At 45.0% G+C, this 13568-nt stretch overlaps 1 protein-coding gene and 1 pseudogene across 3 annotated transcripts in view, besides 6 other annotated features; both read right to left on the reverse strand.

Moving 5' to 3' along the window:
* PSAP (prosaposin) overlaps window positions 1-13568 on the reverse strand; it is a 34954-nt gene that overhangs the window by 19472 nt on the left and 1914 nt on the right. The gene's annotated exons all lie outside the window — the stretch shown is intronic.
* Window positions 107-876: an enhancer, noted in NCBI's record as "H3K27ac hESC enhancer chr10:73595633-73596402 (GRCh37/hg19 assembly coordinates)". NCBI's record gives its function as "activates a minimal SCP1, AML or CMV promoter by ChIP-STARR-seq in naive H9 embryonic stem cells {active_cell/tissue: H9 hESC(naive)}" and the evidence as "EXISTENCE:reporter gene assay evidence [ECO:0000049][PMID:30033119]".
* Window positions 694-763: an enhancer, noted in NCBI's record as "active region_3521". NCBI's record gives its function as "activates an Ori minimal core promoter by ATAC-STARR-seq in GM12878 lymphoblastoid cells {active_cell/tissue: GM12878}" and the evidence as "EXISTENCE:reporter gene assay evidence [ECO:0000049][PMID:35858748]".
* Window positions 874-973: an enhancer, noted in NCBI's record as "active region_3522". NCBI's record gives its function as "activates an Ori minimal core promoter by ATAC-STARR-seq in GM12878 lymphoblastoid cells {active_cell/tissue: GM12878}" and the evidence as "EXISTENCE:reporter gene assay evidence [ECO:0000049][PMID:35858748]".
* Window positions 874-1646: a biological region, named in NCBI's record as "H3K27ac-H3K4me1 hESC enhancer GRCh37_chr10:73596403-73597172".
* Window positions 877-1646: an enhancer, noted in NCBI's record as "H3K27ac-H3K4me1 hESC enhancer chr10:73596403-73597172 (GRCh37/hg19 assembly coordinates)". NCBI's record gives its function as "activates a minimal SCP1, AML or CMV promoter by ChIP-STARR-seq in primed H9 embryonic stem cells {active_cell/tissue: H9 hESC(primed)}" and the evidence as "EXISTENCE:reporter gene assay evidence [ECO:0000049][PMID:30033119]".
* Window positions 2417-3185: an enhancer, noted in NCBI's record as "H3K27ac-H3K4me1 hESC enhancer chr10:73597943-73598711 (GRCh37/hg19 assembly coordinates)". NCBI's record gives its function as "activates a minimal SCP1, AML or CMV promoter by ChIP-STARR-seq in primed H9 embryonic stem cells {active_cell/tissue: H9 hESC(primed)}" and the evidence as "EXISTENCE:reporter gene assay evidence [ECO:0000049][PMID:30033119]".
* RNU7-38P (RNA, U7 small nuclear 38 pseudogene) lies at window positions 8968-9023 on the reverse strand (annotated as a pseudogene).

Genomic DNA, 13568 nt, shown 5'->3' on the forward strand with positions numbered 1-13568 from the left:
AGGGTTGAACAAACTTTTGCTGCAATAGATACTTGACCCAAGTCTGAGACAGAAAAAAAAAAAAAAAAAACAAAACACAATCACCTGAGAAACACACTTAGAACCTCAGGAATCTTGCTGTATGCTGCTTCCCTCTGTAAGCCAATTCTACATACGTGTGTAACACACATAGGAAACACGTGTTGTATAGGTCAGTACGTGTTCTTCCTCCAGGAGAGGGTAAGGAATGAACTGCTTTCTTTCATTACTACCTCCACAAGCTACTCACACAAAGACTGAGTCCCACAAAGCTCGAGTCAGATCACCTTCACCCCTTCAGACACAAGCAAATGAATTATTCATCTGCTGCCCAGATTATAGCCTTCCCTGTCCCCTGGGAGCAAAATCACAAACACGTCCAGTTCGCAACCTCAACCAAGCTGGCCACATTCCAGAGGCTGCTGGTTTGGACTCTAGTTTCCAGGGGAAAACATGTGCCAGATGCAAATCAGTACCAAGCTCCCCAGATGGCTCACAAAAGCTTAGTTAGCCCGCAGTGTAGCCAAGCATGGCTGGCGCCAGCCTCAGTTATAAATCTCAGGGGAGCGGTGGAGGGGAGGCAGAATTGAGTCATGAGGGTAAGGGCTCTGGGGACTGTGCGGTCACAGAGACAGCACAAATAGGAACCCCAGACCTGATGACTCCCACCACACCCTAGCAGGCCCTGGGCCCCTAGGACTCTGAAAAGGACCCATGATGACACCATGATACACTGCCTAGCCCTACCTCCAAATCAAGATGAACAGGAGGCTACCAAATGAGTCTCTAGGCAGAGGAAGGCAGAGTGATACACAGGGAAGCCAGAAGAGGATGGGCTCAGACCTCAGGAGACCAGAGCCAAGACAGAGGAGTCACCACCAAAAGCAGGGGCAAGTGACCAGCACCCCCGATTCTTAAAAATGCTCATCCAGTGTAATGTCCACCCAGCTACTTTCTCCAGCCCTCTCAGCAGGGAACTAGCTACAGCTGACCAAAATCTAGAGTGTTTCCGGAACACAACACACTCTCACAGGCCCATGTGAGAATACTTTGTAGGCTGCCTACTTCCTCTAGGAATGTGAAACAATAATCGTTTTCCATGATGACTTTGTTACTTGTTTTGGTCCGGCCAACCTGGACTGAAAATAATCTTGGGCAGCCCCTTGTATCTGAAACTGGCCCAGCTAATACAAACTGACTGTCACTTCCCAATCCATGACCTACTGAATGGCAGCAGGCCTCTTCCTCAGATCTGGAGGCAAAAAGATACGCATGGTGGAGAATTCGGTACGCCTATAAAGTCAAGTTCCAGCGTAAAACAGATTTCCGTGGACACAGGAAGTAACACGTAAATTCCAACTCCTAGAAAGTGCCTTCTTAGCAAGACACCCCCTTCTACCTCCAACCACAAGCCAAACATAAAGGTGCATGTTACAAAAACAGCCTGTGGTATGCAACGGATTCCATCTCCCAGGATGAACGACATGATGACATACGTTCATAGACTGCGTGTCCTCAGGGCAGGCACCACTGGGTGGTGCTGGGGAGCTCCCAGCCGCCAAGAGGTGCAAAGCCCACTCCCAGAGCAGATCTCCTAAGAGGGGATCAAACAGTGGGTCAGAACCTTTTGGGGACATGGATCCCTTTCCCAGAAACTTTATTACACACACATTTCTCCTAGCACTTGAGGAACTTCTCAGGTCCCAGCTGTGGATTAATCATAAAGCTCTACAGGCAAGGGTGGTTTTTCTCCACACAAGCAGGTAAACAACCCAGCTGAAGGCATGGCTACCAGCTCCACTGACTGCGCAGAGCCCGAGGCCCTCAGGCCAAAGAACAAATGAACAGTCACGATTTTCTTTACCCCAAAGAGCAGGAGGAACAGACATCTAAGTAATGGTGTGTGATCCCACGCATCGGTGGGAATGGGAGCGGCAAGGCAATGCTAACGGAGCCTTCCTCAAAACGAAATTGGAATTGGCACCTGCAAGATGGTGACAGAAAAGGCTGGCTACGTGGAGAGGGAGTGGGGAATTCCAGAACATTCCAAAGGAGTCCAGTTCTCTGTGGGGAAGGGAAGAAACTGTCCTGTCTTTTCAGGAGCGAAGCCAAGGGAAGTAGCGGCAGCCAGGCTGCAAAGGCAGACAGATCTCAGGTGCTTGGGGGAATGGTCTCACCTGCCCCACACACCCTAAGGTGAGGGCTCAACCCCGTGGGCGATACTGCAGGAAGCTTCAGGGATTTCTGGGAGGGACAGGACAGGCAAGCTCATGTGTGGGTCTCAACCACCCAGGCACAAGGTGGCAGAACTGAAGAGGAGGTGGGAGATACCAATGTCAGGCACCTAACTGGAAGGCGAATTCAAAAACGTCCACATGAGAAATGGAAGCAGCAAGAGCCAAGAGAGGCTAACACAGAGTCCAAGAGAACAAGATGGGCAAATGGCACTAACAGGGTTCCATGAGAAGTTGTGCAGACTCAAAGGGAAAACAGAACAGCAAGGGCCAATAGCACCAGGAGAGACACGCCCATGAGCAACGTGAGCTGCTCAGCAGAGGCCAGGGAGGGGAGGGCCTGGGGCCCCACCCAGAGAGTCCCCTGGAGGACTGGGGATGAGTGACGGGAGAAGGAATGTTTCAGAGACACGCGGTCATCTCCAAGGAGGGGGAGAATCCCGTACACCTTCCACCAGGGTGTGGAGCTGGTATGAGTGGCTCCAGACCACAGATCTCTGAACAATGGGTGCAAGGAAGCAGACCACAGCTCCAGGTAAAGAATGCATTTAACATCCACCCAGGGGCATAAAAAGAGAACGGATTAGCTGGACGTGGTGGTGCACGCCTCAGTAGTCCCAGCTACCAAGGAGGCTGAGGTGGGAGGATCGATTGAGCCCAGGAGGCGGAGGTTGCACTCCAGTGCCCCAGCACCACTGCACTCCAGCCTGGGCAATAAAGCCAGAGCCTGTCTCAGAAAAAAAAGAGAGAATGAGTGGCATCATTAGGTGATGACCTCACCAACAGTGGAAGCAAACAAGCAGAAACAAAATGCATAACTTATGAGCAATTCTATATAAGAGGGATCCTTTCAGTGGTGGGCTGAACTAAAAGAGCTCCGAGGAGCTCCAAGTCTTCACTCTAACAAGGCAGATAACATTTTCAGCATTTATAACTAATAAATAAACACTACCCAAAAACACTTTCTCGTGAGTTATTTCTCAAAACATGTGGCCAGCAAAGCCTTTAATCTCTATTCTCATCCTCCCACACCCTACCCCCAAATACCAGCTTCCTTCTCTGAGGCAGTATGCTGAACTCCAAAAAAGTTCTTAGAATGTTTGACCTCCTAAAGATTTCCAATTAAATGTGTCATAAAGACATGAACAGCACTCGGGGCAAATTGAGCACTTCACTTCTTAGTTCAAGGGCCTGGCAAGACAGCTTGGAACAACGGGCTCTTTTTTTTTTCTTTTGAGACAGAGTCTTGCTCTTGTCGCCCAGGCTGGAGTGCAGTGGCACGATCTCGGCTTACTGCAGCCTCCACTTCCCGGGTTCAAGCGATTCTCCTGCCTCAGCCTCCCAACTAGCTGAGATTATAGGCGCCTGCCACCATGCCCAGCTAATTTTTGTATTTTTAGTAGAGACAGGGTTTTGCCGTGTTGGCCAGGCTGGTTTCGAACTCCTGACCTCGTGATCCACCCGCCTCGGCCTCCCAAAGTGCTAGGATTACAAGCGTGAGCCACCATGCTTGGCCCCACAATGGGACTTTTTTAAAGACATAGATTTCAGGGCCATGTGCGGTGGCTCATGCCTGTAACCCCAGTACTTTGGGAAGCTGAGGCAGGAGAATCATTTTGAGCTCACAAATCAAGACCAGCCTGGCAACACGACAAAACCCCATTTCTACAAAAAATACAAAAATTAGCTGGGTGTGGTGGCAGGTGCCTGTAATCCCAGCTACTCAGGAGGCTGAGGCAGGAGAATCGCTTGAACTCAGGAGGCAGAGGTTGTAGTAAGCCGAGATCACGCCACTGCACTCCTGCCTGGGCGACAGAGCGAGACTCCATCAAAAATAAGAAAAACAAATAAGCCATTATTATTCTATGTATTTGTTGTTTACAGTCAAACCTAAGCCCAACTAATATACATACTTAATCAACGACCTCGCTTACAGAAAGGTCTCCCAACAAGTGTTTCCTGGCTTACCCCAGTGAGGATACCGAAAAGCCCAGTACACAACATAATCACCAAAGATTTTCTGAAGCAATCTTAAAATGACAGGACAACATTTCCTAGAATGTGATAAAACAATCAGTCTCATTATTTTAGCCATACAACATATGCTTTTCCTTTTAAATATTTTAGTAACATGCTAAGTACAATTTGAATCTAGCTACCAGAAAAAAAAAAAAGAGGTAACAGAAAATGCATGCAGCCTCCCAGTGCTGACAATCAGAGCCTACATTCCACAGGGCAGCAGATCTGCTGCCTGGGTAAGGCGGCACCATGGCAACAGGCAGGTTGCTAGGAAACCAAGAGAGGATAACCCCTGGAGGAGCGGCTTCTACCGCAGGGCATTTCTCAGAGGAATTCATGCACTTCCATCCCCTAAGAGCAGGAGATAATGCAATGCACTCAACACTAGCTACTCAAACAGCTATTGCCACAAATATCTTCTATGGCAAAGAGCACTTGTCTCTTCCTCATAGATAATCCTGCCTTTGGAAAACAGTCTGCAGAGCAGAATAAAAACACAGCTCACTGAATCATTCAGAATAGTATACGCTCAGAGGTAGTCTCCCTTGATTTGGAGGAGTTAAGGTCCAAGAGTCCTCATATCACATAAGAAATCAGTGGCAATAAAGCTCTTAAGCTCACTAGGCTGACATCCCATCACCTCTGGCCTCAAAGTGTTAAGACAAAGGTCCTTTCTTCCCTGCTTCTCCTCTGCTGCTACAGCCTCGCTTCTTAATTTTCCTTACAAGCCAGATGATTCCAGGGCAGGACATTATCTACACGGAGAAGGCAACAGAGTCCTCAGGGAAATTACCTTGTGCAGTAATGACTGAGGCTGGGGACAAGAATGCAATCTTCTCAGATTGTATGCAATGGAGGCTTAATTAATTTGGGGACAATTCCTAACTAGTTCATTCAAGGGTACTGTAGTCCAATAAAAACTCCTAACAAAGCTTTTCTTCCAAAGCATCAACATATCAGGTGATGATCAAAGAAGAACTTAGATCACCTTAGATAAGATTACATGGTAATCCATGACTGAAAAACTAGCCCTTGGCAGGACTATCCAGATTCCAGCCAAGTGAGCAAGTGGAGGCAGGGGTCAGAGGCGGGCTCTGCATGGCTCCCCATCCTCGAGAAAGCTCCACTGCAGATCCAGCATGCTGCACCGCAGTTGGCACAGGCACCCACACAAACTGGTGCTGGCTCCCACACTGAGCATTGCTGACCAGCTGCGTGGTCTCTGCACATTTGCAGAAGATAATCATATGCTGAAAAAGGTTTCATGCAAACCTCATTAAAGAAATTCAGTATTCTGAACCTGTCTCATCTACTGTTTACTAACTTAAAAGTTCCAGATATATGTGAGTCTACTATAAATGTCACTTTTGGCTTCCTTCAGTTAGTACTTTATAGGAATACTGCCTTCACTTGAAATCTAAAATGTTCAGACCACAGCATGGGTCACGGGAGGATATCAGACTGGCCCAGAATTCCGATTCAGTTGCTTTCACCACAGAGGGCTGTTATGAGAATTAAATGAATTAATGTTCAATAAAAAGCAAAACGGGCCAGGCACAGTGGCTCCCATCTGTAATCCAAGCACCGTGGGAGGCAGAGGCAGGCAGATCACCTAAGCCCTGGAGTTCAAGACCAGCCTGGGCAACATAGTGAAACCCCATTTCTACTAAAAATACAAAAAATGGCCAGGTGCAGTGGCTCACGCCTGTAATTCCAGCACTTTGGGAGGCCGAGGCGAGTGGATTACTTGAGGTCAGGAGTTCGAGACCAGCCTGGCCAACACAGTGAAACCTGGTCTCTACTACATATATATATATTAGCCAGGCATGGTGGCACACACCTGTGGTCCCAGCTACTCAAGAGGCTGAGGCAGGAGAATCACTTGAACCTGCAAGGCAGAGGTTGCAGTGAGCCGAGATCAAGCCACTGCACTCCAACCTGGGTGACAGAGTGAGACTCCGTCTTAAAAAAAAAAAAAAAGCAGAACATCTCCGCATGGGTTAGCTATTATAATTTCTGTAGTTTCTGCAAATCATCTAAACCAGTGGTTCTCAAAGTGTGGTCCAAAACGCCGAGCATCCCAGGGACTCTTTCAGGGGGTGAGGGCAAAATCCTCATGATAAAACCAAGACATCAGTTGCCATTTTGCTCATTCACAAAAGTCCAGTTGAGTTTCTGCGGAGGCATGTGACATGACATTGCAACAGACTGAATGCCCAAGCAGCTAATAATCCAGCCAGGTGTTAAAAGGATTGCAAAAATGTAAAACAGGCTGCTCACTAAATATTTGTGTTTTGGAAAATATTTTTTCATTAAAAATATAATACATACAATAAATATATATATGTTAACATGTAATGGTTTATCAATATTTCAAAGCATTAATTTTTAAACACTGACAGTTTAACTTATAAGATGTTAAATATTGATAGATACAGCCCACGTAAACACAAGCTCTTTGGGGTCCTCAATAACTAATTAGTATATAGGGATCCTGCAACCAAAAGTTTGAGAGCCTCCAAGCTAAACATCTGGAGAACAACCAACTTCTGAAACCAAAAGTGGGAGGGATAATTTCCTCAACTTATAGCTGCTTCCCTTTTCAGATTTACCTCAAATCAGAGCCACCATGAACATCTAAATTATATTAGACTTCCCTGTACCTATCACCTACATAGAACCCTCCCCAAAAGGTGTGGGAGGGGCAGGTCCCAAACTATCATCAACTATTATAAAAGTCAACACTTCATTTGCGCCCAAAGTCACTCTTAATTTCATAACTCCTAAAAACAATTTCTTAAAATTAATTTCAGAAAAATAAAAGATAATATTCTATCTAATCATGACAAAGACTCGGCACTATGAAGCAATGAAGTTTCAGGCACACTAGCCTACACTTCCACAGCTGAAGTCTACCTGGCTACACCTCCTGGCACTCATCAATGCTAAGCACCTGTTATGTGCCAAAACTGCCGCACATGCTGCAGACACAGCAAGCGATCAAGACAACACACACATCACAACGCCAGGTAGCGGTGAGTGCTACAAATAAAGCAAGGTGGGGTGGGGCAGCTATTTCAGGCACATCAGTGGGGAACTCTGATAAGGCAACATCAAGCAGGGACCCGAATGCACAGAGAGGAAGCCCCATGGGTTACCCAGGGAGGAAGATGTTCCAGAGAGGTGGAATTCAAAATGGAAAATCTCTGAGCACCAAGAAGGAAGGGGCCAGAAGGCTGGACAGCAGGCCAGACAGAAGAGAGGGGGAGGAGCTGAGAGGTGGCCAATCACCAGGTGACAGGCGACCTTGCGGACACACTTGAGTTTTATTCCTAGTGCTATAGGAAGCCACATGGCCCTCTGGTATCAATGCCTGAAAAAGAGACTTACTCGTACAGAACAGCATCCCATCACAGCTACTGAGAGAGTCATAAGTAACGTGACAAATACTGGCCAAAAGAACTTTCTCTGCGTCTTCTTCAATCTTAGTCATGACGTTTCCACTCATGTAAATAATTTTTTAAAGGCAGTATCTGTCCAAATGTGGCCAGAATTTACAATTTTTACATTTGCAAGTCTCATTAGAATTCACCTAGCAGTTTATTAGACGTCGATGTCCATCAATAGGGATTAAAAAGACACATCCATACAATGAAATACTCAGCTGGGAAGTGGGAAGAGATTAAGGAGACCTGACAGCCAAGGGCAATGTGGCATACTGGGTTGGACCCAGGAACCAAAAAATGAGATTAGTGGAAAAACTGGTAAAAATCCAAATAAAGTTTGCAATCTAGATACTGACAGTGTCCTGATATTAATTACTTGCTTTTGGCAAATGTACCATGGTTATACAACACGTTAACAGTAGGGGAAGCTGGGGGAAGGGTATACAGGAACTCAGTATACTACCTTTGTAACTTTTCTGTAAATCTAACATTATCTCAAATTTTAAAATTTAAGTACATCTATCTGTGTTAGCATGAAATTACCTCTAGGATATATTGTTTAAGAAAACAAGAAGAAATGCAAATGAAACCACTAAGTCATTTTACTCCTATCAAATTAGCAAAATTGAAAGTTTTAACAATATCAAATGTTAACAAGGGCATGCAGTAACTGGAAACTGAATACGTTATGGAATGGCAACTGCCAAGATCATTTGAGAGCACTTCTACAATTGTTAGTTACTCCACAACTCAGCAATTCTGCTCTTAGACATATGCCCTAGATAAATGTTTTCCATGTACACAAGGAGACATGTACGAGAATTTTTACAGAAGCAGGCTGTAATAGAAAAAACTAGAAATTATCTAAATGTCTATCACTAGAACAGAAATGATACAGGCCAGGCTCAGTGGCTTATGCCTCTAATCCCAGCACTTTGGGGGGCTGAGGTGGGCAGAACACCTGAGGTCAGGAGTTTGAGACCAGCCTGGCCAACATGGTGAAACCCTGTGTGTACTAAAAATACAAACGTTAGCCAGGCATGGTGGCGTGCACCCATAATCCCAGCTACTCGGGAGGCTGAGACAGGAGAATCACTTGAACTCAGGAGGTGGAGGTTGCAGTGAGCCAAGATCACACCACTGCACTCCAGCCTGGGCAACAGAGCAAGACTCTGTGTCAAAAAAAGAAATTACATAAATGGAATACTATATTGTAGTGAAAATGAAATAGACCTACATATTTTTGTAGGGGGCTTTCCAGTAAAAACCAGAAAGCCTTCTAGACAAATTCTAAAAGACATAACAGTAATCTATACATTTTCAACATAGAAAAACCTCCCTAGCAAAACAAAAAACTAACCTAACAATATACAGTGGTCCCTCCTTAACCATAGCTTCCTTTTCTACCGTTGCAGTTACCCACGGTCAAATGTGGTTTGAAAATGTATTCCCACAGTCAAATGTGGTCTGAAAATGTATCCTGAGAAAGACCACATTCACATAATTTTTATTATATATTGTTTTAATTGTTCTGTATTACTAGTTGTTGTTAATCCCTTACTGTGCCTAATTTATAAACTAAACTTTATCACAGGTATGTATGCATAAGATAAAACATACATATATAAATAAGATTTGGTCCCACCCACAGCTTCTGGCAACCCCTGAGGGTCTTGGAACATAACCCCCAAGGATAAAGAGAAAGACTATTTATTGGATACAATATTTGCAAAATGTTTAAAATATCCAAAACAATACTCTATACACACTGCTGAAGCTTCCAGTCACATGTATGGAAGGAAAAAGACCTAACGGGGAGGAAAAACAAGTCCAGGAAGGTGGCTCTCTACGGGGGCAGCTGGGTTATCAGGTTCCATTTCTTAACCTGGGTGTTGCGTACACATGTTTATGATAATCACTTTTCCACTTTTCAAATGTTTCACAATTTAAGGAGCAACAAGCAAAACAGTCAGTAGAATATACTACTATTTGTGTTAAAAAGAAAAAAGGCAGAAGGAACTCACACATGGGATGTACCTCTGCAAGCTTCTAAGGGAGCTGCTACCAGGCTGTTTGGGGAGGGCCTGGGGACAGCAGTGGCAGGGACAAACCTTGTACTCTATACTCCATTCTACTGACTGACCTGGCTTCCCACGTCCATCTATTATCTACTCTAAACAGCTCGCCTCCATTTACGAATGGGGAAACCGAACTAGGGGGCTGGAACAGACAACCTCAGGTCCAGGATTAGTGACAACAGATCTAGACCCAAGCATTCGGGTTACCAGGAACCAGCTCTGATCTGCTGGGCTGCTCTGATGTCAAGATCCCCTGGCAGCTAAACCTAGTTTGGCTACCTAGACTATGAACTGCCTGCCAACTCCCTCCTAACTGCTGTCTACCTACCCTGGCTTGTTTTCCTGACTCACTAATTATACCCAGCATGTATGTTTTTAATAAGTCAATTTAATTTTGTTAAAGTCACAACGTCCTTTGAAATTAAAGACGCCAAAGGAAATCACAAAATCAAGGGCAGAAAATAGGCCGCTGTGCTGTTGGGGACAAAGATATTGACAATACATTACTTTTATTAGTGGTACAGCAACAAAGAATACTAACTAAGCCCTTTTCTGTATTAACCTAATTTATTAAAGCTAAACAGCAACCCAGTGAAATAGATGAGTAATGCCACTTTACAAATGATGAAATACGGGAGAGTTTAAGCAACTTGCCCAAGGTCGTACGGCTACTGTCAGCAATGAGATAATGTGAAACTTCCACTCCACATTATCATCTTGTCCCAACATACAAAATTACAAATGCCACAAAGTTATTTTTTTGGAACTTCATGTAATAAAAAATAAAGCAATTAGTACTTTTGCAACAGCCAAAATCTTCATCCCAATCACTGTATTTATCATCATTGTTTTAAAGCCCTTAAAAAAAAAAAAAAAAAAGCCAGGTGCGGCGACTCACGCCTGTAATCCCAACACTTTGGGAGGCCGAGGCAGACAGATCACTTGAGGTCAGGAGTTTGAGACCAGCCTGGCTAACATGGCAAAACCCTTTCTCTACTAAAAATACAAAAATTAGCCAGGCATGGTGGCAGGTGCCTGCAATCCCAGCTATCAGCTACCTGGGAGGCTGAGGTATGAGAATCACTTAAACCCGGGAGGTGGAGGTTGCAGTGAGCTGAGATGGTGCCACTGCACTCCAGCCTGGGCAACAGAGTAAGACCCTGTCTCAAAAAAAAAAAAAAAAAAAAAAAAAGGCAAGCAGGGCAATGTAATTCTAATTAGTACTCTCTTTCATTGATCTGAAGAATATCCAGACCCTCCTTCCTGGTGGCAGAACCAAAAAGGAGCCAGAAAGCAAGGCTTACAGCCTGGTAGCCAGTAACCTAGAATCTCTGCTAGAAGCTGCCTCCAAAGCTGCCATGCACACCTGTCTAAGTGGCTTTGGTCTTGGCCTTGAGAACTTCCTAAGCATGCCTCATTAGGTGCTGTTCCCAGCCAGCAACACCCCGCCCTACCCTTCCACTTCCCCACAGCTGCCTGGACATCCCATGGTCTCACTCACCAAGAAAATGGAAGACCAAGTTCTCCTTTCCCTCATCTACAAAATGCCACACCAATCAATCCAACACACTTCAACTCTCATAGTTTGTTCTCAAAACAACCTGTCAGGGCCGGGTGCGGTGGCTCACACCTGTAATCCCAGCACTTTGGGAGGCCGAGGCAGGCGGATTACTTGAGGTCAGGAGTTCAAGACCAGCCTGGCCAACATGGTGAAACCCCATCTCTACTAAAATACAAAAAATTACCTCCCATTTACCCGAGTGTTCAGGGAAGAGGGTCCTTTGGTCAACTAAATATTGTGGTTAACCATAAGCCCATATATACCAGAGGTGGATTTTATAGGCATGGTGGTGGGCACCTATAATCCTAGCTACTCGGGAGGCAGAGGTGGGAAAATCGCTTGAACCCGGAAGGCGGAAGTGGCAGTGAGCCGAGATCGCGCCACTGCACACCAGCCTGGGGACAGAGCAAGACTCCCATCTCAATAACAACCTGTCAGGCTTCTCCCTTTCGGATGCCTCTCTCTCACAAGAGAGAGCTGCTCTCCTTTCTCCTTTCTTCTGCCTATTAAACTTTCTGCTCCAAAAAAAAAAAAAAGAAACAAAACAACCTGTCAAATGTACTTCAAGGACTTGACAAATCACTGATTTGTTAAAACAAACCCTTCTTTCTTCAGGAATTATACTCTTATTTTCACAGAATAAAACTGATTTACTATTAATAAACAGGAGATTTATCCAAAATCCCTGACAGGCCAAGACCTGAAGTTCCTACTGATATTCAGCAGGCCAGGCTATAAATTCACATGTTATTGAAAGAATATATATAACACCTTCTAGCATCCCCAGAAAACATAACTGTCTTAGCGTGGTGTAGACAACATTCAGCAGGCTAGCCACCACACAGCTGACAGCTATCAGGGCATCTAAGCTTCAGGGAGCACCTGCCACATCCCAGGCACCATCCCTCATGCCTTACACCTAGCTGATGAACACGCTCCTTTTTCCACCAGAGGACTCACCTAACAGCAATACCCTCCATGATCCCATTTGTAAAAGATCGAAACTGCAGCCTTCACATCTATGGTGTTCAAAGGTTAACAATGTTTCCTTCGGGGCAAGTGGGACAGGGCAGTGAATGGGTGAACAGGGGCCTCTGGATGCTACTGCACTGCTCCCCAACCTCGGGGGCTGCTCACTTTGTGGTAATTCATCAAGTTGTCTACTTAATCGTCCACGTATGTAACTTACACTAAGTTTTTAAAAGTTAAGAGGTCCATGTGGACAGAGGGATATGGAAAAAGCGAGCACTGTGGAGTCTTGGGTTCTGGTCCTGGCATCCCCAGTAAATGGTCTATGATTTGGGAGAGTCACCTCTGGGCACCTCCAGGTCTTCATTCCTTACAAAGGGGTCAGATTACATGCTCTCCAATTCTCTCATGGTGCCATGGCTTTGCTTTCGCTTTTAGGTGGGGAAAAAGGAGGGGCAGCTGGATGGGCAGAAAAGTAACTCAAAAGCAAGTGTCTCTACCACCAGGACATCACTGAAACACAAAATACAAAGCCCATCCCGATTCAGGGTGGCATTCTGTACTACGACAGTGTCACGAAGAAAGTTCTAAGTGCCTCTCGGGCAGCAGACAATGGCTGCAGTCACCAGGCACTTTCACTAACAAAACTCATTATCATGTCTAGAAATTTTAGGAGTAACATTTTCACAATATCACAAAGGGGCCAGAGCTGTGAAGGCCAGGGAGCATTCAAACACTGTTATCAGCACTGACTTTGGCCTAATCCTAAAGGTAGGACAGCAAAGTTAAACCAAGGCCATTACAATACCTCCCATTTACCCGAGTGTTCACGGAAGAGGGTCCCTTGGTTAACTAAATATTGTGGTTAACCATAAGCCCATATATACCAGAGGTGGATTTTATATTTCCCGAGACACGATTGAGTCCCTTTTGGGTGATGTGAATGAATCAGAACTCTTAAGGGTCTTGTGAGGAGTGACTCAACGTCAACAAGAACAATGGATAATGTAAAAAGAAAGAAAAAAAATTGCCCTGAATCAGTATAAAAAATTTAGAGACCAGCATTAGTTTATTATACAGACCATGGAATAACTGCAGTATAAGCTTGAGTATAAAATCAAAATGATTTTTTTATAAGCAGATCATCTTTCATTGTGTACAAGTAAAACAAATTTAAGAGCTTCGTATAGGGTCAAGATACATTCTTGAGAGCTGCTGAAAGCTAACTCATTTCTTCGGTTTT

Source organism: Homo sapiens, chromosome 10 (assembly GCF_000001405.40).
Source record: "Homo sapiens chromosome 10, GRCh38.p14 Primary Assembly".
NCBI lineage: Eukaryota > Metazoa > Chordata > Mammalia > Primates > Hominidae > Homo > Homo sapiens.